Below are 25768 nucleotides of genomic sequence, written 5' to 3'. Positions count from 1 at the left end.
AAACTCCAAACACATCCAAACATCAGAAGGGACAGAATCCAGACGCGCCACCTTAAGAGCTGTAACACTCACCGCTAGGGTCCGCGGCTTCATTCTTGAAGTCAGTGAGACCGAGAACCCACCAATTCCGGACACAATAATATGGGTTTTAGAGGAAGACTTGGGTTCAAACCTTACTTGGTAGCTTTGTAATATTAACAAGTTGTTAAATTTCTTGGTAACATTGTGGTGAAATTACTGTAGAATGCAAGGGGGAAGGGTGCAGTGATTCAAACCTGTAATCCCAGCACTTTGGGAGGACAAGGCAGAACAATCGCCTGAGACCAGGAGTTGGAGACCAGCCTCACAACATAGTAAGACTTCATATCTCACACATACGCGCGCACACACACACACACACACACGCTGGTATGATGCCTCATTTGTAGTCCCACCTATTCAGAAGGCTGAGGCAAAAGGATAACTTAAGCCCAGAAGTTTGAGGTTAGAGTGAACTATGATTGTCATTGCACTCCAGCTTGGACAACAGAGCAAGAACTTGTCTCTAAAAAATAAACAAATACAAAATAAGAATACAATGGTATGATTTATATAAAGAAGTTATCACTGTGTCTGTATCAAGTGTGCCATAAATGAGAGTTACCTTCATCATTATTTATTATTTATTAAATGTTAAGTGTCAGGACCTGGGTTAGGTGCTGATAATTCAAAAGTATATAAGACATAGATATTCCCTCAGGGCACTTAACAGTGCTCAAGCTAATATTCAAGGTAATTGGACCTAAGAAAATATTATATGAGGCTTTCTCATCCACATGCTTCTCAAACTGGCCCACAAACATGAGATAAATAGCACTATTTTAAATGACCCAATGAAGGGGTTTTTAAAACTTAATATAGCAAGCAGTCTCTAAGATCTTTTCCAATGATAAAGTGGAAAGTTCCTGGTTGAGAAATCATGACAAACCCTCTTACCAGCACAGCTGTCAACAATTCCTTTTATGGTGAATGAGTCACTGCTTTAGTTGATACTTTGTTTCATATTAGTGCATTTCTTTGCAGAGGTTACCTCTTTTTCTTGTCTCTCGTCAGGTCTCTGACATTGACAGAGCCTGGACGTTGGAGGAAGCCCCAGGACGTTGGAGGGGTAAAGTAAAAGTCCACAGTTACCGTGAGAGAAAAAAGAGGGAGAAAGCAGTGCAGCCAAACTCGGAAGAAAAGAGAGGAGGAAAAGGACTCGACTTTCACATTGGAACAACCTTCTTTCCAGTGCTAAAGGATCTCTGATCTGGGTAAGACTGGGGCAGGGGTGGGAAAATATTTACCAGGGTTCATCAGTTTTATCTAAATTGACCATTCCCACAACAGGCCGCAGCTGAGCCTGCTGTGGGACACAAGTCCACATACTATCCTGGCCCTATCAAGTGGCTGCAGGTTCCTTAGTGCTCTCTGCTCCTGCTGTGAACTAGTCTCCAGCATAGAGAGATGGGAATGTTTCTAAATTGTTATTTCTTTCTTGACACTATCTTAAATTAACTTTATCATTATTAGTATCTGCTTAATAAAGTTAGGGCTCCATCACATTCATTATTGCCACTTGTAGAGCTCTAGGTAAATGAAGGTAGGCAACTTGGGATCTGCAAAGAGAGGGAACACGTTATTATAATTAGGGAGCTTATACAGTCTTTGTGCAGCTACTTTTCTGAGTCAGTCATTGATTGATTCCCATTTTAAGGTGGTTTACATCATGCTATAAAATGAAACAGAAGTCTTGCCAGAAGTGTCTGTGAGCCATTGTTGTAAGAGAAAATGGGTCCTGACCACAGAAAAATAGTTTTTTTGCCATTGTCCCCTGAAGGGATGGGAAACAGATAATTAGATATAAGCCTTCATCAGAGCAAGTCAGAAGTAATCGACTCCATATTATAAACAAAGCACTCTTTATTATAGAAGAAGGAAAGCTGTAATGCTTACAGTCTATGATTGTTTGTTAAAGAAGTTATAAATGTTATATCATGATCATTTTAAGTTACAGGGATTGAGACATTCAAGGCAAAAACACAAATTAAGATGTTACTACAGGAAGGCTTCTTGCTCATTTTAAATTTACAAAATTATCAAATTATCAAGGCCTGGTTAAACAGGATATGCCTACAATTGTGTATATACTGCTCTCCATGAAGCAGAAGTCAGAAAAAAACAAGCCCTGGTTCATCAGAGAATGTTTCCTGATGCTGGCTTCATTACCTGAAATAACTGAAAGCAATATGCAAACTGATATACATGCAGGTGATAAAGAATCAGTCTTAAAACACAGAGAGGTTAAAATCTGGTAACATAATTGAGTAAAAAATCAGCAGATTTTCTACATGTCAGATTTGAGATACCAAGCTTGAGTGAATAACAGGTGAATGCTGATTCACAGCAAATATTAAGAACAAGTGATGTCCTGTGGTAGCTCAAAGGGCTTCCTGCATAGTGATAGGAAGAAGCCACTGGGTAACCTGAGTCCCACAGTCTGACCAGACCCTGTCCGTAGAGGGGCTTGGAAGAAATCAGGACCAAGGCTGGGTTAGAATGGTATCTATGTTTCAAAGTATGGAGATATGTATGACACAAGATTCCCCAGGTAAAAGTTCCTATTACTGTGTACATGAGCTTAGTGAGCTCAGCTTTGCTCAGTCCAAATATCTAAACGTGAATGTGAAAAGTTTCCAAAGAAAATTTTGTAATTAAGTCAGAAAATGTGACATATCTAGAAAAAAAATCCATTTTCTGAACAGTGAGATACAAGATGATCTGGTGGGAATTCAACCTGATACATCCTTCTGGAGAGGAACTTGGCAATATCCAACAAAATAAAATGCTCTTACCTTTTGACCTGGCAATCTCACTTATAGGATGCTATCCTAAAGTTACTCCTATAGCAATATAAAAATAAACACTCACAAGGTTAGCAGAGGTTTTCATTGCAGCATTGTTTGTAATTGCTAAATATTAGAAACAATCTAAAAGTCTATACATAAAAGAACGGTTGAATAAACTGTGCTATGTCCACATAAATGGAGTAGATGCCTGTCAAAAGAATTGAGAAATCTTCCTACGAACTGATAGGGAAAGACTCCCATATTTCTAAGTGATGTGATCTTTTTGTTGGAAAATGTGAATAAGAAAATATACATGTATATGCTCATTAATGAAAAAAAGTCCAAGAAAGGTAAACTAGAAACTAACAAGATTGGATATCTATGGAGGATAAGTGGGCATGAAGTGGAAAGAATAGAAAGACAGATGGAATGGGAATGCAGTGCCAAGATGAAGGGAAAGTGACACTTCTCTGACTACAGCTTGTTGTAAAGCTCTGACTTTCAGAACTCTGATATTTCGCATACTCAAAAATAAATGCATACTTAAAATCAACCAACAAATGAACCTAACTATATTACAAATAAATAATTTAACTACACCAAAGAGAATGGAGAAGGAAATAGTAGTCTAAGCAACTTTGGAATACAGTGTTTTGACTGTATGTGTAAGACCAAAGACAAGAACTTTTAACTAATAGTGCACTCTAGTTAGCAAATTTATCTTTCAAACACTTATGAGTTAGTAACTTTAAAACAAATTATATGTACTAGAATTGAGCAAATAACTAAATTTATTATGTATAATGACACACTCAGAGAAAAGATTTTAAAAACAAGGGGAAAACATGAATAAGTTTTGTTTTGTTGAATTGGAATTAGAAATATCAGAAGAAACTTAAGCTTATATATAGAAACAGATAGACGAGAAATAAATGTAGATGTGTGTATTCATGTGCTGGTATATAAACATAGATTTCTTAACTTTCCACCTGAGAGGGCCTAGAAGTAATGACTACACCTAGTGTGATAATCTTGTTGTCTATCTACCATTATCCAATGAAAGCAACCAGAGCCCTTGGGAGAAATGGTCGATTCTAAGGCTGAAGCAGAAAAAATATTAGATAAGCCTGGCATATATTGTAATGTCAGAAGGAAAGACGCACTGAAAATATGATGGAAGCACGTCCATAGTACCTGGGCTACAGCTTGAAGGAGCTCTCAGTGAACTAATCTGGGACGAGTTGAGCAATGAGATAAATAGTGATAGTAAAGTGTTACCCATATGATAAATCTACACTGATCTACTATAGATCTACACTGATACAACTAAATGATTAAATAAGTAAATAAAATAAATAGAGGAGAAAGGGCAGTTCTTGCTCACATTAGAACTCTAATAAATGTAGAAGGAATGAAAATAGAAAATTACTTTTAGTCAAACATCACAGTAAGTTATAAGCAAGAATTATCAACAGATGCTAAAAATAGTGACTGAAAAAATTATGGAAGTATGATGAATCTTTATTTGCATAGTCTTCAAACTGTCTCTTCAAATGGTACTTTTTAGTGACAAAATGGTACATAACACTTTGTGGTAGAGAAACCTGGCAGAGAACACCTTAACCAAGTGATCAAAGTTAAGGTCACAGCACCAGAAAAAGTCATGTCAACATCATGAATCCCTTAATACAAGACACTGAAAATGGCAGAACATCACTTTGGTGACATTTGCAAAAAAAAATGTATAACTTCAATCTAATAATAAGGAAACATCAAAAAACCCAAATTGAGGGATATTCTACAAAATCATAGCCAGTCAACTTCTAAAATGTCAAAGACATGAAAGACAAGGAAAGAATAAGGAACTATCAAAGATGCAAGGAAAATACAGAAACATAATGACTAAATGCAATGAGGAATCCTGGATTGGGTCATGGAGCAGAAGGACATTAGTGGGAAACTGGTGAAATGTGAATAAGGAGTGTAAATTAGTTATCACTCTACCAATGTTAAAATCCTTGTTCTATGGTTATGGAAAATTTTAACTTTAGGGGAAATGATATATGGGAACTTTCCATACCCATTGTACATCTTTTCTGTAAGTGTATTTCAAAATAAAGTTATTTTTAAAGAAAGCCAGTGACCCAATTTGTAAGACAGCCTTAAAGAGAAACCAGGCTTTAAAAAACGTATATGAAAAAATGTTCAAGCATAGAAAACAAAAATTTAACCCATATTGTAAAGTTCAGCATAGCTAACTACCTAAAAACTGCTTTCCATTTCATCTTTTTCCTTGCACACAAGGGAACAACACCCTGGACATGGCTCCAGAGATCAACTTGCCGGGCCCAATGAGCCTCATTGATAACACTAAAGGGCAGCTGGTGGTGAATCCAGAAGCTCTGAAGATCCTATCTGCAATTACGCAGCCTGTGGTGGTGGTGGCGATTGTGGGCCTCTATCGCACAGGCAAATCCTACCTGATGAACAAGCTGGCTGGGAAGAAAAACGGTGAGTGACACCAGCAAAGCTCTAAGCCCCTTCTGTCCGTACACACGGCGAACATCCAGCTTAGGGATGTGAGCATAGAAAGAGATGAGAATGAATGTTGAAAGCTAACTTTCAGTCCATTAATGGGCTCTTTACATTGACTTTGGAGGATTACAGTCAACTGACTCTTCCCACTTTACTTTTATTTTATACTAAGGGTATAAATGTGCCTTTCTGGAAGGAACACAATGTTAATAAAGAAAATTAACTTCTATAATAATGACTTATAAAACATTTATTAAAATGTTCATGTAGTGACAGCAAGCTTTCAATGAACTTTAAGAAAAATATGAATGTTTCAGTGTGTATTAAATATCTAATTTTCCTGTTTCCAGGATTGTAATTAAGATTTATGCCAGTTGTATTTTCTTTTATCTCTTTTAACTTCAATTATGTTAACTTTTATCTCAATTTCCAGAAACACCTACTAAGTAATTTCTTTTCCCTTTTATCCTCTCCTTCTACAGGCTTCTCTCTAGGCTCCACAGTGAAGTCTCACACCAAGGGAATCTGGATGTGGTGTGTGCCTCATCCCAAGAAGCCAGAACACACCCTAGTTCTGCTCGACACTGAGGGCCTGGGAGATATAGAGAAGGTAAAAAAAATAAGTATTTTAAAAATTTCACTTAGGTAGATTAAAATCTACATAAACCAGGTCAGATCGATAACCATCTTTGCACAATCACTCCTACTCCTTGATTTAGGGCTCTAGTTAATTATATTAATATATTATTTCTTAAAATTTGTGTGGTATAAGCATTCAGAGTACACAATAAGTTCAATTGATTAATTATGGGTAAACCTATGAAATAATGGCTAATGATGTTTTCAGTTATTTCTCTTTCATATTATAGTAAAATGTTTTGGTGAGGCTGCTGAAGGTGCTTATAAACTTCAGTAGACGTTTTACAAACATGTCTGACTTTTTACAGTGGGATCCCACAAAGGTAGTAAAAATGTTCACATCCACACCAGCACCAGTAGAAAGAGAAGCAAAGTGTAAAATCTAATGATAACATCTTTGCTCATTAAGGATAATATATTACTACTGTTATAAATCTTAGACATAGAAAGCTTTTATTAAAGGAGCTTATTTTAACTACTGTGTAAAAAATATCTTACTATGATGTGCCATGGAAATGGAATAGGGTCATAAACTAAGTTTAGGGTACCAGTTTGAATTTTAGTAGCTGATCAAAATAGCTTCTCCTACCAAGTGCTCATGTGTTTCCTGCTGACATATATTTATATATAACACCTTAAATTATACATCATAAATATTATAAATTTGTTCTACAGGTAGAAAAAAATACTGCATAAGGAAGTGAGTTACCTAAGTTTTCAGAACTAATGAGAGACAGAGTTGGAGTTCAGTCAGTCTTCAGCTATCTGAATTGATTGTACATTCTGCTAGTCATTCTTCTTTGTGGCTTCTACAATGACTTACAGGGTGACAATGAGAATGACTCCTGGATCTTTGCCTTGGCCATCCTCCTGAGCAGCACCTTCGTGTACAATAGCATGGGAACCATCAACCAGCAGGCCATGGACCAACTTCAGTATCCTTTTTTGTGGTCCAGAACAGCAGTAAACCTAGAAAATAACAGCTTCATTTTTTCACCAAGTACAGAGGCAGACAGACAGGTACTGAAGAATTCATAAGTCCTCTCTTTAATAAATCTCATTATGCTGAACATCTCATTCTATCTCAATCTCCATCTGAACTTCAAGTCTTCCCAGTTACATGTCTCGTTAGATACTCAGCCACCCAAGACTCTGTATATCCTCTATCTGACTTAATCTCCTATGCCTGTCCAAACCTTCAATGTCCTCTAGAACTCATGTTCTCACTTCTGCAACTCTCTATATTCTTATCATCTGCTCTAAGTGTTGCCTTCTAAATGATACCTAGCTATACACTATAGATACTATTTCTCCTACAGACCTCTCCAGTGGTCTTATGTGATGACTATTTTTAATCCCATACCTTGCATATCATAAGTGTAAGAGATGAGTTAGGTATCCTCCTTGCTCCATATTAGAGTTCTGGACACTTTCTCATTCCTTTACCATTAAAAAGAGAATCTTCTTTAATATATATGCCCTCAGACTACACCACTATTTTTGTTGCAATTATCTAGCAACGTTCCAATAAATACATCCTTCATTCATTAAAGATTTTAGTTCCTAGTGTCTTTTTAGAGACTAGCAACCAATAGACAATTATTTAACACCCTGGTGTCTCAGTTCCATCACCTTATTGGAACTCTCCACCCTTATTGTCATTCTCCACTCTCACACATTACTTAACCTAGTTCATTATCAATGACCTCACCATTTCCATTAGCTTAGTTTCAAGCATTATACTGAATTAGATTTCATCAAGATCACCCCCATATTCCTATATGTAATGCACAGTTCTCACCTCATTTGATCTTCCAATCTTCCATAAGCCTTTTATTTCTCTAGGAGCATTACATAAATTTGATCCCTTCCACCTTTCTGAAATGCCTGTTTCACTTGGAATTGGTTCCTATTAGAATACCACATTTCCTAATTTTCCACCTTCCTTATTGGTAGACTTTTTCAGATTACTCTATCCTCTTTCTCCTTTTAGCCTCTAAATATTATAACACTTAAGTTCTTGTGCCTCTTTTCTTTTTCTGCTTTCAGTCCCCAGATGATCACATCCAGCTTCAAGGCTTTCAGTAGCACCAATATGTTTATCACCATCAAATCTGTATTCCCAAGCATGAGCAAATTCAAACTTTTGTATCCAGCTTCTGGTGCAACATCTCCATTCAGATGTGTAAGAGACATCTTGAGCCTAAAGTGTACAGAACAAAACTTAATTTTCCTGTCCAAAACAACTCCTTCCCAGTCTTTCTAATCACAATAAATTCCCACATCATTCATAGAAGTGCTCAGATCAAAAACTTAGGAATCATCTTGGATGATTCCATTCCTTATGTTTTGGAAATTATTAATCATCAAACTCCTTCAGCTCCACTATCAAAGTTATTTCTCTAGACTAGCCAATTCTCACTACTTGCTCCATTGCCTCTCATCTTGGTTATCTTTTCAACTACCTAATTGCTTTTTGTATTAGTTTTGTTTGTTTGTTTGTTTTGGCATACACACTTGACTCACAGATGCAATGCCAGCCAGTATGATTTAAAAAACAAAAAACGATACTATATCCTCTCTTCACTTAATACCCACCAATGACTTCCCATTAACTTTCTATTAAATTTCAAACTTCTTACTTTGGTTTACAGAGCTTGCATATCCCAACCTCTATTTATTTTAAGGCTTCTGCCCTACCACACTGGATTTCTTGATATATGTTGTACACACTCAGTAATTTCCTATCTAAGGGCCTTGAAGGGTCTGTGATCTCTGTCTGCAATGTTCCTCCATTGGATTTGTACATGACTGGTTTCTTCAATTCATTCAGATCACTGCTCAACTACAATGTCAGAGATAATTTACCTGGAAAACTACATGAACCAGCACCACATGCAGATACACACAATTATTCTCTGCTTTCCTTATTGGTAGATTTGGGAGACACCAGAGTATTAGATGAATGTCTATTGGTTGCTAGTTTCTAAAAATACATTAGGAGCTAGTTGCCCAGTTCGTTTTCCTTCAAGACAATTGTTATCAATACCTGATAATTTATTTTTGTTTACCTGTTCATTGTTTGTCTCCATCATTAGAATGTAAGCTCTATAGTGGTAGCATTGTCTCATTCATTACAGCGTTCTTAGTCCCTAGGGCAGTGCTTGGTTCATAGTAGGTGCTCAATAAATGTTTGTGAGTGAATGAATTCTGTAAATAAATGTTTGTGAATGAATGAATGAGCTAATAAAAAGAAACCAAATTATTTTAGGTAAGCATTAGGATAAAATGTAGTATAAAGAGTGGCATTTTCTGTAGTTTTCTTAATTTAGCATCTCAGCTATGTGACAGAGCTGACAGATCGAATCAAGGCAAACTCCTCACCTGGTAACAATTCTGTAGACGACTCAGCTGACTTTGTGAGCTTTTTTCCAGCATTTGTGTGGACTCTCAGAGATTTCACCCTGGAACTGGAAGTAGATGGAGAACCCATCACTGCTGATGACTACTTGGAGCTTTCGCTAAAGCTAAGAAAAGGTTACTGGGTCTGATGCTTGGTTGGGTAATAAATAGAGAGCAAATAATATCAAAATAACCATTTCTGTGCAGTGCTAAAAATTATAATTTTTAACTGTATTTTTCTGACTGTTCTGCTAGAGGAAATGGAAACATTGCTTGACTATATCAGTTGGAACCAATTTTAAATTGCATTACCTACCTCTTCTTGGAGACTTTCCTTTCTCTACCCCTTTAATTTTTTATTTCTTCTTCCTAATAAATTTCCTCCTTACATGGGCTTTGTGAAAATTATAAAATTGAAAGATCATATTTGAAGTAATTAATTTGAAGTTTTACTACTTCTAATTTTCATTCCTGTAGGTACTGATAAGAAAAGTAAAAGCTTTAATGATCCTCGGTTGTGCATCCGAAAGTTCTTCCCCAAGAGGAAGTGCTTCGTCTTCGATTGGCCCGCTCCTAAGAAGTACCTTGCTCACCTAGAGCAGCTAAAGGAGGAAGAGCTGAACCCTGATTTCATAGAACAAGTTGCAGAATTTTGTTCCTACATCCTCAGCCATTCCAATGTCAAGACTCTTTCAGGTGGCATTCCAGTCAATGGGCCTCGTGAGTCACTCTCTCTACCCACTTCCTACCTGGACTTTCTCCTTCTGCCCATTGTAGAGGATAAAATGGAAAGCATAAGGGTCACTTCTGACAAATGCATAGTCTATTGATGGCAAGGAAAATACAACATGAAAATCATATTATAAATTTTACATGAAAACTAAAGCTATAGTATCATCTCATATTCCTTGCAAGGAGAATAAAAAAAGAAAAGAACTAGAATTGAATTCTATTATGGTAAACTTCTCCACCAACTTCTCAGCTCCCTCTTTATCAAATAAACATCCAGGATATATATACTGAGCAACAAAGAAAAAAGCAAATACTATATGTAAGTGAGACTTTGCCACTAACTAACTGCAGTACAATTCTCTTGTTCAGCAATTCTAAAATATTTAGGGAATGCCTATAATGTAATGTACCAACCACTGAGTATAATGATGGATAAAAGAAATGTGACTTTTATCCTCATTCCAGCATAATAGGAGCAAAAGATACTTCTGTAAAAAGTAAAAAAAAAAAAAAGTATAATGATAAATAGTGGTTAACACAATGCATAAAAATAATAGGCTGCTATGAAAGAGTAAAGGGAGAGGCAGGGAGATATAATTTAGAGTGTGAGAGAATGCTTGTCTGTGAAAGTCACCTGTAAGATGAGAACTTAAAAATGATTGAGTTGGCTGGGCACGGTGGCTAATGCCTATAATCCCAGAACTTTGGGGGGCTGAGGTGGGTGAATCACTTTGAGCTCAGGAGTTTGAGACCAGCCTGGGCAACATGGGGAAACCCTTCCTCTACTAAAAACACAAAAATTAATCAGGCATGGTGGCTAACACCTGTAATCCCAGCTACTCAGCTGGCTGAGTCTGAAGGATCACTTGAGCCTGGGAGGCAGAGGTTGCAGTGAGCGGAGACTGCACCACCGCACTCCAGCCTGGGAGACAGAGTGAGACCCTGTCTCCAATATATATATATATTAAATAAATGGTTAAGAGCTAACCAAAGCATATAGAGGAATAGCTTTATAGCAAATAATGTAATGTGGAAATGCATAGGGCAGGATAGAACTTTGCAACTTCAAGAAAATAGAACACAGGAGGCTAATGCCTGTAATCCCAGCATTTTGGGAGGCCAAGGTGGGAGAATTCCTTGAGCCCAGGAGTTTAAGTTTAAGACCAGCCTGGGAAAAGTAGCAAGACCTCATCATTATGAAAAAATTAAAAATCAGCCAAGTGCAGTGGTGCTTGCCCAGAGTCCTAGCTACTCAGGAGGCTGAGGCAGGAGGACCCAGCATGAGCACAGGAGTTCAAGGCTATGGTGAGCTATGATCATGCCCTGCACTTCAGCTTGGGTGACAGACCAGAATTCCATCTCAATTTTTTAAACGAAAATAGAAGAAAGACAGGCGATTGGAACAAGAGAAGACTGAATAAGAGTGGTGTCATAATTGGAGGGGTATAAAGGGGTCAGGTCTTGAAAGGACTGGCAGAGGACTTTGAGGAGATTAGAGTTTGTCTAAGCTCTAGAGAAGATCTTGAAGAATTTTTGGCAGTGAGGTAAGGTTATCTAATTTATGTTTATACATATCTTTCTGAATATTTTGTAGATAATTTGTTGGAGTAGTGAAAGGGAGGGAATGAGAGGATGGATGCTATTTGCAGTGGTTGAGCCATAAATGGGCATTGGGTTAGTCTCAGATTATGACAGTGAAAATGGTGAAAATGGACAAGATCCGAACATACTTTGGATATTAAATCTAAAAGGCCTGTTGATAGAGGGAATATGGATTTATGAAGGGAATAAGAAGGAAATGCCAAGCCTGTCTCCAGCGTTTCGAGTTTAGCAATTGCTTGAATGGCTGTGTTATTTAATGAGATAGTAGCATCAAGAGGAGAAATAGTTTTTCAGAGTGGATGAAGTTTTGATATTTAGATTATTTAATATTGAGATTCTTCTGATTTATGCAGTAAGGAATATAAGATAGGCATTAAAAATAAGGTGCAAAACTTATTTTTAATCCAAAGCTTAAAAGAAATGTCAAAGCAGGAAACAAAATACACCAGCCATCCATACAGATGGTACTTAAAACCGCAGAGAGATGAGAAGGTCCAGGATTGAGTCAAAAAGAATCATCTTTTGTTGTGTGATCAACCACTCCAGTTTGCCTAAGATGAGGTTTTCCTGGCATGTGAGACTTTCAGTGCTACACCCAGCAAAGCCCTGGCAAACTCGATGAGTTGATTATCCTATCTGTAGTTCTGATGAGAGAATATCTAAGAAGACATATTTACCTAAGCCAGACACCAGACTAGTGACTAGTGGTCTGCACCACTAAAATTAATAAAAATAAAAAGGCTAAGTTTTCTCATTGACTTTTTTCATAAATTAGTAGTGAAGAGAGAAAGGGAATAGAGGGAGAGGTGAGAGAAAAGAAAGGTAAGAAAACACATTGACCTAGTATCTCAGCCCCAAAATATCCTAACCTATTCATTTCAATATCTTCCTTTTGGGTGAAGGAAATAGGAAAGAGCCACTTCAATTTCCTCTGTGATTAGAGGTTAACAAATTATTCCATTACTATTCTTTATCCAAAACTTATTTAAAAGTATTATTTGTGACACTCACTTGAAAAGCACACAAAATATTCTGTCCCACCAACTGATAGTCACATTTTTTTAAAAATTCCCTTTTGCAGGTCTAGAGAGCCTGGTGCTGACCTACGTCAATGCCATCAGCAGTGGGGATCTACCCTGCATGGAGAACGCAGTCCTGGCCTTGGCCCAGATAGAGAACTCAGCCGCAGTGGAAAAGGCTATTGCCCACTATGAACAGCAGATGGGCCAGAAGGTGCAGCTGCCCACGGAAACCCTCCAGGAGCTGCTGGACCTGCACAGGGACAGTGAGAGAGAGGCCATTGAAGTCTTCATGAAGAACTCTTTCAAGGATGTGGACCAAATGTTCCAGAGGAAATTAGGGGTATATTTGGTGTTCTACGTCATGAGAGGCAGAAAAATATGGGCCCTTCATGGGAAAATAATTCTTTCTAGACCCCAAAATAGTTACACTCAGTTATGTGTACATATTTGAAATAATCATTAAAAGACTAGAATGTGCATAGCCTTAGACCTTTAAAAAAAGACACCTAATTTTTTACTAAAATTTGCTTTTGTTAGTTTTTCCTCTCTGGGTCCCATATTTTAAGAAAGTAAGTAGATGGTACAACTGCATTGTTAAAGACTATTTTAACTTATTTTGTCCTTTTAAATTAAAAAATACATTGTTTTTATGTTCCCTGGTAATTATCAGTGGGGACTAAATTATTTTTAAATAACCCTAATAATTTTTTTAAATGTGAGCCAATGGTAAAATATTCAGAAGGCCAAGAAAGAGAAATTAATTATATAAATTTTATTAGAGAATGTTTTTAATGTCTGCCTCATTCCAAGTGAACAAAGTATTTTTGCATGCAGAATGACCACTTGACAAATGAAAGTCCTTTCCCTAGCTAGGAAGGCAGGATCTTATAAATGATACGTTGCTACAGTCAGAGGTTCTGGTGAAGCTAGATAGCCGATGTCAGCAATTGTCACCCTTCCAACCTAAGGAGGAAAGAGAAAGCTTCATAGTTAAGTTATCTTGAGTGATTTAATGTAGATAAATGTGCTGTTCTATGAGACTTTCCAAATACTGAAAATACCTATGGCACAATCTTCATTACTTTCATTAGCCCTATGCTGAGAAAATACACAAAAATATTCTTATGTTAAAGAATGTACTAAATAATCATGTACTCCTTACTGAGCACTTCTAAAAAGTCCCCGGGCTTAATACTTTACATCACCTCATATAACCCTGCAGAGAAATCTGTGAGATAGGTATTGTTCCTCTGCTGCACAGACAAGGAATCCTCAGTTCACAAAGACTGAGTGTCACAAGCCACAGTGTAGTGTATCCGGGAACTCCAGGCAGGCTGCCTGACTCCAGTGTTTGTGCTCAGAACTATTCCTGAAATGAGAGACTTGGAAAGATAAAAGTTTCGTATGAAATAGTGTATGTGCTTTGAGAATCATTCTCTGAAACAGGAAAACTGGGAGAAAGGAGCTTTAGGAAATCACAAACAGAGAAGTAGATAAATTTCTGCAATAAGCACAACTTAGGGATATTCTAGGATCTAACAGCAATGTGAGGAGCATGGCCCTATTTAGAGGGCCACAATTTCTGAAGGAGAAGCATTTTCCAGTCTCCACATAGTTAACATCCTCCTCATGGCTTTACTGAAACATCTGTGCTGTTTTGTCACTTCACAGGCCCAGTTGGAAGCAAGGCGAGATGACTTTTGTAAGCAGAATTCCAAAGCATCATCAGATTGTTGCATGGCTTTACTTCAGGATATATTTGGCCCTTTAGAAGAAGATGTCAAGCAGGGAACATTTTCTAAACCAGGAGGTTACCGTCTCTTTACTCAGAAGCTGCAGGAGCTGAAGAATAAGTACTACCAGGTGCCAAGGAAGGGGATACAGGTAAACTACACGGTGGGTACCATTTCTTGGGACTCGCTGAGGGGATGCTTTTAAAGCCCACTGGGAAGAAGGTAAATGGCACTGCAACTGGTGCCTAGGGCCTCTGCCTTTCATTTTTCCATTTACTGATTCATTCAATAAGAGAGCCCACCATAACAGGAATTCCTCCTCAGAAGCACAGATGTAGCCCTCAAAAAGAGGTTTATCGAATTGACTCATTTATTTATTCATCTAGTCATTCAACAATTATTTATTTTGACCTAACTGTATACCAGGAACTTGTCAAGTTGCTGGGGATACGGCAGTTAAAAAAAAAAGTTCAAGCTCTGTCAAAGTACACACAGGCAATTAGCAAATGATAGCTTATGAACAAATAATAATAACAGTTAACATTTATGTTGCACTTACTGTGTTCCAGGAACTGGGCTGAGAGCGTTATTCATTTAATACTCAGAGCAATTCTATAAAATATGTATTACTAATATCCGAAATTTGTAATTTTTTTATTTTTTTACTTTTGTGGGTACATATGGTACATAGTAGGTGTATATACTTATGGGGTACATGAGATGTTTTGATATAAGTATGAAATGCACAATAATCACATCATTGAAAATGGGGTATTTGTCGACTCAGGTATTTATCCTTTGTGTTACAAACAATCCAATTACACTTTTTTAGTTATCTTAAAGTGTACAATTAAATTATTATTGACTATAGTCACCCTTTTGTGCCATCAAGTTTTATGCTCTCAAGTATGTTGTGCTATACTTGATTTTATTCATTCTTTCTAGTTGTTTTTACCCATTAACCATCCCCACCTCCCTCCCCCCACCACCCCATTACCCCCTCAGCCTCTGACAACCATCCTTCTACTCTCTATCTTCATGAATTCAATTGTTTTGATTTTCAAATCCCACAAATAAGTGAGAACATGCAATGGTTTTCTTTCTGTGCCTGGCTTATTTCATTTAGCATGATGACCTCAAGTTCCACGTTCTTGCAAATAACAGATCTTATTTTTGTTTATCAGTTCTAATAGTTTTTTTGGTGTGGAATCTTTAGATTTTTCCAAATATAAGATCATACCATCTGCAATAAAGGAGAGTTTGTCTTCTTCATTTCCAACTTGGATGCCCTTTATTTCTTTCTCTTTACTGATTGCTCTCGCTAGTATTTCCAATAGTATGGCAAATAACAGTGGTAAATGTAGGCATATTTGTTGTATTCCAGATGTCAGAGGAAAGTATTTTTGTTGTTCTTCCCATTCAGTATGATAATAGCTGTGAGTCTGTCATACATGGATTTTATTATGTTGGGGTATGTTCCACCTATACCCAGTTTTTTTAATGTTTTATTAATGAAGGGATATTGAATTTTATCAAATGTTTTTTCAGCTTGAATTGAAATGATCATATGGTTTTTGTCCATTCTGTTGATAGAATTTATCACATTGATTGATTTGCATATGTTGAGCCGTCCTTGCATCCCAGGGATGAATCCCACTTGGTCATGATGAGTGATCCTTTTAATGTATTGTTGAATTTGGTTTGCTAGTACTTTATTGAGGACTTTTGCATCAATTTTCATTAGAGATATTGTAGAGTTTTTAAAATTATTTCATTTCATATAGGTTTTGGGGGGAGCAGGTGGTGTTTGGTTACATGAATAAGTTCTTTAGTGGTGATTTCTGAGATTTTGGTGTACACTGTACCCAGTGTGTAGTCTTTTATCCCTTGCCCCCTCTCCTTTCCCACAAGTCCTCAAAGTCCACTGTATCATTCTTATGCCTTTGTGGCCTCATATAATAGCTTATCTCCAATTTATGTGTGAGAACATAGGATGTTTGGTTTTCCATTCCTGAGTTACTTCACTTAGAATAATAGTCTGCAGTTCCATCCAGGTTGCTATGGATGCCATTGTCTTTTTCCTTTTTATGGCTGAGTAGTATTCCATGGTGTGTGTGGGGGGGTATTATATGTTTTACATATATATGAAACAATTTTTTATCCACTCATTAATTGATGGGCATTTGGGCTCATTCCATATTTTTACAATTGCGAATTGTGCTGCTATAAACATGCGTATGCAAGTATCTTTTTTGTGTAATGACTTATTTTCCTCTGGGTAGATACCCAGTGGTGGGATTGCTGGATCTAACCCACAATCACTCTTTCTTCATTCTACCTTTCTCTGTATAACCAGGCCAAAGAGGTGCTGAAAAAATATTTGGAGTCCAAGGAGGATGTGGCTGATGCACTTCTACAGACTGATCAGTCACTCTCAGAAAAGGAAAAAGCGATTGAAGGTGAGAACAGCTGAAAACACTCTACATGGTCGGAAAGCTCTCAAAATGTTAGTTAGCAATATTGGTCCACCTGGAATTATTATTGTAGAGAAAGAATGGCAAGTATCATTCATAGTTCTATGAGAGTTTTCTTAACTAATCTGTATGATCATTGGTTTTCTGGTTACCCAAGGCAAAATTACAAGAAGTTTTCTCAATGATGTAAGGATAAGACAAACAAAAACGAGGGAAAGGAAAAGGGAACACCTACAATTGAATATTCATATCTTTTTCTGCTTATTTTTCTTCCACAGTGGAACGTATAAAGGCTGAATCTGCAGAAGCTGCAAAGAAAATGTTGGAGGAAATACAAAAGAAGAATGAGGAGATGATGGAACAGAAAGAGAAGAGTTATCAGGAACATGTGAAACAATTGACTGAGAAGATGGAGAGGGACAGGGCCCAGTTAATGGCAGAGCAAGAGAAGACCCTCGCTCTTAAACTTCAGGTATTCAATTGCATCATCTCAATTTTCTCTTCCAGTGCCCCATATCGAAAATGAAGTATAAGGTTGAGAACCTAATGCCTCCCAAAAAAACTTTCTAGCCCAGACACTACTACATTTTTCCTTCCCTAACTATTTTTATGCCAGTCATCTCTGGTTAGTAAAGACTGTTTACTTGCAGGATACAATCACATGGAATTCTTTATTATGCTATCACTAATAAACATTGCTAGGCACTGCACAAGTATTTTACATTATGTGATCAAATTTTCCTTTAATGGTAGAGGAACTATTAGTTTCTCATTTGCTAAATGAAGTAATTATAATCTCATGAGCAGTAAGTAACTTTTCTGCATCAGACTACCTAGAGAAATATCTAGCCAGTCTTTCCTACTGAGAGGGATCCATGGGGATTTTGTTTCTGTTATGCCTGCTAAGACTTTATGTCTGGAAGCACTGTTATGAGTAGAAAGATTCCCTAACCAGGCCAGGTGCAGTGGCTCACACCTGTAATCCTAGCACTTTGGGAGGCCGACGGGGGCGGATCACCTCAGGTCGGGAGTTCAAGACCAGCCTGACCAACATGGAGAAACCCCGTCTCTATCAAAAATACAAAATTAGCTGGGCATAGTGACGCATGCCTGTAATCCCAGCTATGCAGGAGGCTGAGGCAGGAGAATCGCTTGAACCTGGGAGGCGGGGGTTGCAGTGAGCCAAGATGGCGCCATTGCACTCCAGCCTGGGCAACAAGAGTCAAATTCCATCTCAAAAAAAAAAAAAGAAAGATTCCCTAACCATCTACCCACTTAAGCACACTGGTTAAGTGCCCATGGTGCCAATACTTTCTTGTTCTCTGGGCTCTTTTCCACATTTACGTTTGCCCAGAAATAGCCTATGGGCCACTGTAAGCCCTGATCTCCTCAATTTATTTCTGTTACCTCCGAATTTTGGAGACCTGTACTAAATTCCCTGATCAAACACTTGCCCTAGTCTTGAGTTATATAGTAACCTACCAATTGGAAATCATCTATCTTTCATACCTTCCTAGATATATATTTAAGAGTCCATTCTATATAGATCAGAAATGAACAACAACAACAAAAAGAACAAGAGAAAGTTATGGTTTTTCCAGAAAGACTGTGTTGCATGAGTGCAAATGGTGAAGGGACCAAGGAATAAAACGCTGGGTCACTAATATTTTAGAAACTGTAGAACAACAACATTTTTGAAGCTAAAAAAATCATAGAAAAATTATTGGCAGGTATAGGAGACTCAGAAGAGAGTGATAGTCAAAAATTCTTGAAGGATCAATATAAGTACCAAAAGGGGAACTAATCTGGTGGAAATGTGTTAAGCTGGATAGGCTTAGTCTCCACTTTCCCTTTTAGGAACAGGAACGCCTTCTCAAGGAGGGATTCGAGAATGAGAGCAAGAGACTTCAAAAAGACATATGGGATATCCAGATGAGAAGCAAATCATTGGAGCCAATATGTAACATACTCTAAAAGTCCAAGGAGCAAAATTTGCCTGTCCAGCTCCCTCTCCCCAAGAAACAACATGAATGAGCAACTTCAGAGTGTCAAACAACTGCCATTAAACTTAACTCAAAATCATGATGCATGCATTTTTGTTGAACCATAAAGTTTGCAAAGTAAAGGTTAAGTATGAGGTCAATGTTTTACCTACAGAGCAATTCAACTCATGCTTATTTATAGTACTAACTTTTAATATGATCTTTAACTAAATCCTATATTTGAAATCATACACAAGGACTCAAGAGAGATATTGTGTAACTAGGATGCATTTTCCAATGAGATATCTTGCAGTTTCTGTTCTGGGTAGATTTTTTTCTCTCATATGCACCACCCTTACTGTATATTCAGTCCTATACTCTTATTCAGGGATTTAACTATGGTCGTAGCATAGGGCTGAAGTGTTGTGAATATGATGAAAATGTGATGAGACCAAACAAACCATGGGGCACAGTAGAGCATCACTCCTGCCAAGTGGTCTTTGTATGGCATGCTGGCTGCAAATAAAGGAGATCTGGGACACTTAACTAGGCTTTTAAAGTACAGACAGTGCACAGTTCTCATTTGGGTGGAGGCTGCATGATCTGTGGGCACTAGCAGAGAAAGTGGTTGCCTCTGTGCAGAATGCATTTATGAGTAGAGGCTCCACCTTCTCTGTCCATGTAAACCCTCTAGGTAATTACTGCCCCATTCCCAGGCCACCTAGATCTCTCTTCTCTAGTCTCCCTTAGTCTTTTCTCTTTCCTGAAGTTTAGAAAATAACTTCTACAATCACAGAAAGGAAAGCTTTAACTCAAACTCAAATTACTTTCCATTCTTCTGAGGACCAGGACTATAATCCTATAAAGCCTAAAACTTGACTGCATTTTTCTCTCTGCTCCTCTGCTATGACATTATATCCTCAAAGCTACTCAGGGTAAATGACTTACTAAAAAAAAAAAAATGACAGATTGAAAAATCAAGAATAATTCATTAATACAAAACATTATCCTACTACAATTGTTTCAGGATGTGTATTATTCAGAGTTCTTCATGGCAAATAACAATCTGCTCAGCAATTTAAGTAAAAAGTAATTTACTTTTTAATACCATTAGGTTGCACACCGATGCTCCAGAATTGTGAGGGAGCCATACTCTACAGCTATTCCACCGAGGATAATACTACCATTGTAAAGGCATCTCACGGGAAAACAACACAGCTACCATGAACCAGCACCATGATCTCTGGATGAAATGCTGGAAGCTTCTGCAGTGTCAGCTATGAGTAAATGGATGCCACCACCTTCACATTTTCAGTAAACAAATACTCCCCTACCCCATGAAAAGTTGCATCTTTGAGCTGCTCACATCTCCAGCTAAGCCTCACAAAAGTCAATCTGCAGGGAAGAATCTAAATCATATGCCTACCCATGGGAAAGTCTGAGAATTAGAGTATTTTTGTCTTCTACTTTTGGAGGAAGAAACTAATAACGTGGGAAATTTTCCTGTATGTTTAGTCAACCAGTTTTTCCATGCAGATGTATGGAGATAAATCTTATAGTAGGAATAACCTAAGACTTGAGTTAGTATTTTTGTGTACATCAGATACAACACTCTTCTCATCTTTTTTGTCATTATTTTTCAATGTTGTTTTAATCTTTCCACTGTTGTTTCATGTCATGCACTTTGTTAATATTCTTTAAGTTATTCTTAGTTTTTAACAATGATACTTAAGAAAGACTTAATAGGACTATAGAATAGGTACTCCCTATTCCCCAACCCTGGGAACACAATTTAACATATTAGTTCATTTGTATTTAAGATCTATCTTGTTTATGCCTCAGTTTAGTTATTGCTCTTACCTTTCAAACAGTTAGTATTTTGTATCTAGTTCTGTGAAAGCAAAAAGCAACTTTATTCTTTCTTACAATTCCCCTTTTACTTAATCGGAACATTTCTTTCCTGTTTGTTCATTAGTCACTCTCAGATAAATGAATAGTCTCTTTTTCTAAAAAAAAAAATAACATTTGACCTAAATTTTTAAATGTCTGAGTTTTGATTTAAAGTTCCTCCCCTTGTATCTTGCTCCCCCTCAGATTCCACTCAGTCACACAGCCCAGGCCTGATTCAGCCTTACAGGCACACAGTGAGAAAGGTGTACGACTTTTTATTTTCATTTCCAGCTCTCCCTCCCACTGGGTACACTAGCTCATGTTGATGATACCTTCAAGTTGTTAACACTAGAGTGCAGGGAATTAAGGAAAAGAAACCTTACATGATACATAACTGATCTGGTGTTGGCACCTTCTGGTGGTGGCTTAAGTCCTTAAGGATGATTTGGGTTCTTTGCTGATCCCCCTTGCCAGGACCTCCCAATAGCACGTCCCTATTGTAGTCCACTTCTGATTCCTTTCCTCAAATTCTCTCTTCTAGAGATCCACTCATTCAATATATTCTTGGTGTTGAGATCAATGCCTCTTGACATGTTGACATCTTGTGCAGGATTTCCTTCAATATGACCCAAGTCCAGAACACCCCAGTGATTATACCCATGAGAAAAACTCATGCGCACCAGTTTAGCCATACACCGTAGGAACAGGATTCCCCCAACTCTCTTTTCTTTCCTATTTTGCCACAAACCATTCCATCCCAGACTATCACTTTTAGATGTTTTTAGGCATAAGTTGGGCACCAGTACTAGTGTCCCCAAACCCCAAAGAGCACATATCAGCTTTTCAAGAGGATCTTTTAAGTGCCCAATGCTACTTAGTTTGTAAAGATAGTAAGAAAGAAGCACCTCTCATTGCCCTATGGGGAAAATGAGCAGAGATAAAGAGAGGGTGGATATCAATGCACACCAATAAGTCTCTCAAAAGAGTTCTCCATTGCTAATCTATTCTGATCAGTCTCTTTAACTCATCTTATATGCCCCAGATGCAACTTGGTGTAAGACTTACACAATCTCTCAGTACTATTATTTTAGAAAATGAATAATCAAACATTCATAATTGGAGGGGAAAGGTAGAGATACACATACTTAGTTCCAGATTGTTCTAGTCCACTTTCTTTCCTAGCCTACTTTGAAGAACAAGGAGCAGTTATTAAACATAATTTAACCTTCTTTTTTTCAACAAAGTGAGTTATCATTTGAACCAAGTGCCAGAACCTTGTGGCATTATGAACTGTCATAAAATGTGGTTAAAAGTCTTAGTAGTCTGCGCAGTGCATTCTGGGGACCGAGGTCGAGCCAGCCACTGCTGCCGTCGCCTGAGGGAAGCGAGAAGAGGCCGCGACCGGGAAGAAAACGCTGAGTCGCCACTGGAGAGAAGTGGACTCCATAGCAGCAGACCCCGCCAGAGAGGCCCGCCCACCCGTTCGCCCCTCCCCCTGCCCCGTTCACAATGCAGCCTGCTTCTGCAAAGTGGTACGATCAAAGGCACTATGTCTTCATTGAATTTTGTGTTGAAGACAGTAAGGATGTTAATGTAAATTTTGAAAAATCCAAACTTACATTCAGTTGTCTCGGAGGAAGTGATAATTTTAAGCATTTAAATGAAATTGATCTTTTTCACTGTATTGATACAAACGATTCCAAGCATAAAAGAACGGACAGATCAATTTTATGTTGTTTACGAAAAGGAGAATCTGGACAGTCATGGCCAAGGTTAACAAAAGAAAGGGCAAAGCTTAATTGGCTTAGTGTTGACTTCAATAATTGGAAAGACTGGGAAGATGATTCAGATGAAGACATGTCTAATTTTGATCGTTTCTCTGAGATGATGAATAACATGGGTGGTGATGAGGATGTAGATTTACCAGAAGTAGATGGAGCAGATGATGATTCACAAGACAGTGATGATGAAAAAATGCCAGATCTGCAGTAAGGAATATTGTCATCACCTGGGTTTTGAGAAAGAAAAATAACTTCTCTGCAAGATTTCATGATTGAGAGAATTCCTGAGTTGATCTAAAAGCAGATGCTGTAGCTGCCTACTTTAACCCATTTTTCAACCTGTTTGTTTTTTAAAGGGCTTCACTAAGGGTTGATATGTACCATTGTAGGGGGCAATTTTAAGTCAGCTAAGGCAATAACCTTATGCATGAACATTTCCCAGACTTTCATGAAGCTGTTGAGGTCCTAGGCAATTAATGCGGCAGTTGTGATAAATAAAAACATCTCACCTAAGTCTCCTTTTCTTCATAATATAGATACTGACATGATGATAGGAAGCTCTCAGCTTAGGGAAAGAGAGCTAAATTTTAGATTATAGAACATGGATTCAAAAGTGGCTGAACAAATTGGCTGACACCTTACTGGTAACCTGCTATTCCTCTGGTGTTATCCTTCAGGATTGTTCCACTAAAATTTATTTTTCAAAAAATTTACTTCACATTATTCTATGTAAGTGATCACTTGTCAGTGTTCCAGGTGTATATTAGCTAAAATTAGAGAATGCCCTAACTTAGATGGTTTTTGAAGCCTGTACATTTGGTATTGTTTGACCCTTAAGCTTTTACATCTCTTAGCATGGAAGACGAAGAAAGCTGTACATTGTTGCTTGAGAGTCTGTACATTTAGTCCAGATTTGTATTTGCATTGTCAGTATGGCAAATGAGTGAAAAATGTTTAATACACTATTGTATTTTTTTTTTTTGAGAGTCTCTCTCTGTCACCCAGGCTGGAGTGCAGTGGCCCGATCTCTGCTCACTGCAAGCTCCACATCCCGGGTTCACACCATTCTCCTGCCTCAGCCTCCCGAGTAGCTGGGACTACAGGCGCCTGCCACCATGCCCGGCTAATTTTTTGTATTTTTTAGTAGAGATGGGGTTTCACCGTGTTAGCCAGGATGGTCTCGATCTCCTGACCTCGTGATCTGCCCCCCTCAGCCTCCCAAAGTGCTGGGATTACAGGCATGAGCCACCGCGCCCGGCCGGATTTTTTCTTTTTTTGATTCAGCTTATACCAGGGCTGAAAACCTCAATTTATGTTCATGACAGTGGGGATTTTTTTAAATGCCTACATTCTTTCTAATAAACTGTTGGAAGACTTTAAAAAAAAAGTCTTAGTAGTATATTTGCTGTAAAATGAGGATGATAACTTACATCAACAAGCTTGTACTGAGGAATAAATTAAATTTCATAAATAATACCTATAAAGAATTTAACACAATATCTACTGTATAATAGGCACTAAATGTAATATATATATATATAATATATATATATATATTTTTTTTTTTTTAGGCAGAGTCTCACTCTGTCACCCAGGCTGGAGTGTAGTGACGCAATCTCAGCTCACTGCAATTTCTGCCTCCCGGGTTGAAGCAATTCTCCTGCCTCCACCTCCCAAGTGGCTGGGATGATAGGCACACATCACCATGCCCAGATAATTTTTGTATTTTTAGTACAGACGGGTTTCGCCATGTTGGCCAGCCTGGTCTGGAACTCCTGACCTCAAGTGATCTGCCTGCCTCAGCCTCCCAAAGCACTGGGATTATAGGCGTGAGCCACTGCACCCAGCCTGAATGCAATATACTTTTTATTATAACACTAACCCAGGGTTCAATGCTGCAATGAAACTTATGTATTATAAGGTGAAAGTATGATTTAAAAATTACTACATGAAAATATAATTCATCTCAGTAATATTTAAAAACTTATGAAAATAGCATGCCATTTTCCACCTCTCAATTTAGTTAATATTAAAAAGCCTTATTCCACCTGTTTCGGGGGGTGGTGAAGGGATGGAGGCAAATTTATTAATACATCTCAAAAGCCTTTAATAAGAACATCATCTCTGACCTTCATGCTCCACTCCCAGTTTCATTCTTTTAATCAAAATACATATGGAAGGCTACATCCTTAATTTGGTGCTAGGTACTCATCAGTATATAAGACATGTCCTTTCCTTCACTTGCTGCATCTCTAAGTGACTAACCTGTTCCAATATGAGTATGTCAAATATTTGAGGAAGTTAGACTTAAAAACAATATGATTCCTCCTCATTCTTGGCTTTTCAAAATGTCACCCAAACCTGAAGTAAGTGAGATTATATTTCACATGATATGATGGACTTTTAAAAACAACAACAAATGGTATCTAAGATTTCTTCCAAAAATAAAATTTGAAGATGTTAATGCAACTACTAGCACAGCTCCCAGAAAATTCTTTATAGTTTTAATCCACTGCTTTGCACTCAGGACTTTCAGATTTAGTTTGTCTAGTCTATTGCAGAAGTTTCTTGTTATCTTTCCTTCTAATTGTCTGTTCTCAGAAGGTAACTTGGAAAGCTCCAGGACATTATAGGGGTGAAATAAAAACACAAAGATCCAGCCAGATATAAGGTCAAGATCCTTATCTGGAATATGTATCAAATATAATGGAGAAGGCAAAATTGCATCTTGAGCAGACACAACTTGATTATGAATAGAAGTGTTCTCTGCAACCTTAAAAAATAGTCCCTTTGAAGTGCATTTAATATTGTAGTTCCATTTGCAAAGTAAATTTCTTCCTATTAAACATGCAGGGGTGGTATCACAAGGTAGGAAGGAATGTTTATGCAGTCAAACCCCAATAGTTACAGTTAAGGGCTGAGATACAGGGAAAATCTGTGGAGTATTGGAAATACCACCTGTGTAATACGCTTACTCCAAAGAAAAGGTTGAGCAAAGATGGCAGGGTTTAATGTAGAAAGAGTAGCAACCTTATTTACCAGGAATTGATGAAGTTGACCATCTATATTAGTATTGTATTTACTGTGAATGTTTAGCATAAGGCAGAAT

General features: G+C 37.6%; 1 protein-coding gene, 1 long non-coding RNA gene and 1 pseudogene across 2 annotated transcripts, besides 2 other annotated features; 2 read left to right on the top strand and 1 right to left on the bottom strand.

The window, feature by feature from the left end:
* On the top strand, nt 1041-21023 carry GBP2 (guanylate binding protein 2). The gene is made up of 11 exons (NM_004120.5): nt 1041-1292; nt 5172-5378; nt 5885-6012; nt 6867-6976; nt 9382-9578; nt 9921-10163; nt 12859-13139; nt 14471-14683; nt 16889-16991; nt 17285-17478; nt 18864-21023. Exons 2-11 carry the CDS (start codon nt 5189-5191, stop codon nt 18978-18980), a joined length of 1776 nt encoding a protein of 591 aa, NP_004111.2. The 5' UTR covers nt 1041-1292; nt 5172-5188; the 3' UTR covers nt 18981-21023.
* LOC112268267 (uncharacterized) lies at nt 1924-9377 on the bottom strand. The gene is made up of 2 exons (XR_007066213.1): nt 9113-9377; nt 1924-8244 (listed from the first exon to the last, which is right to left on the bottom strand). It is a non-coding gene; the product is annotated as an uncharacterized LOC112268267 (long non-coding RNA).
* Nucleotides 5195-5489: a silencer, noted in NCBI's record as "tiled region #4932; K562 Repressive DNase matched - State 8:EnhW". NCBI's record gives its function as "represses a minimal TATA promoter and a strong SV40 promoter by Sharpr-MPRA in K562 cells {active_cell/tissue: K562}" and the evidence as "EXISTENCE:reporter gene assay evidence [ECO:0000049][PMID:27701403]".
* Nucleotides 22135-22429: an enhancer, noted in NCBI's record as "tiled region #5145; HepG2 Activating non-DNase unmatched - State 9:DNaseU, and K562 Activating DNase matched - State 8:EnhW". NCBI's record gives its function as "activates a minimal TATA promoter and a strong SV40 promoter by Sharpr-MPRA in HepG2 and K562 cells {active_cell/tissue: HepG2 | K562}" and the evidence as "EXISTENCE:reporter gene assay evidence [ECO:0000049][PMID:27701403]".
* Nucleotides 22201-24036, top strand: PTGES3P1 (prostaglandin E synthase 3 pseudogene 1; annotated as a pseudogene).

This window comes from Homo sapiens, chromosome 1, assembly GCF_000001405.40.
Source record: "Homo sapiens chromosome 1, GRCh38.p14 Primary Assembly".
Taxonomy (NCBI): domain Eukaryota; kingdom Metazoa; phylum Chordata; class Mammalia; order Primates; family Hominidae; genus Homo; species Homo sapiens.
This window is presented reverse-complemented; position numbering and strand designations above follow the sequence as displayed.

Excerpts from the sequence above, each read along its gene's own strand:
- GBP2 (NM_004120.5), top strand. The coding sequence starts at position 5,189 with ATGGCTCCAGAGATCAACTTGCCGGGCCCAATGAGCCTCATTGATAAC. Across the intron at positions 10,164-12,858 it reads CATTCCAGTCAATGGGCCTC|GTCTAGAGAGCCTGGTGCTG; the intron begins GTGAGTCACTCT and ends TCCCTTTTGCAG. Across the intron at positions 14,684-16,888 it reads TGCCAAGGAAGGGGATACAG|GCCAAAGAGGTGCTGAAAAA; the intron begins GTAAACTACACG and ends CTGTATAACCAG.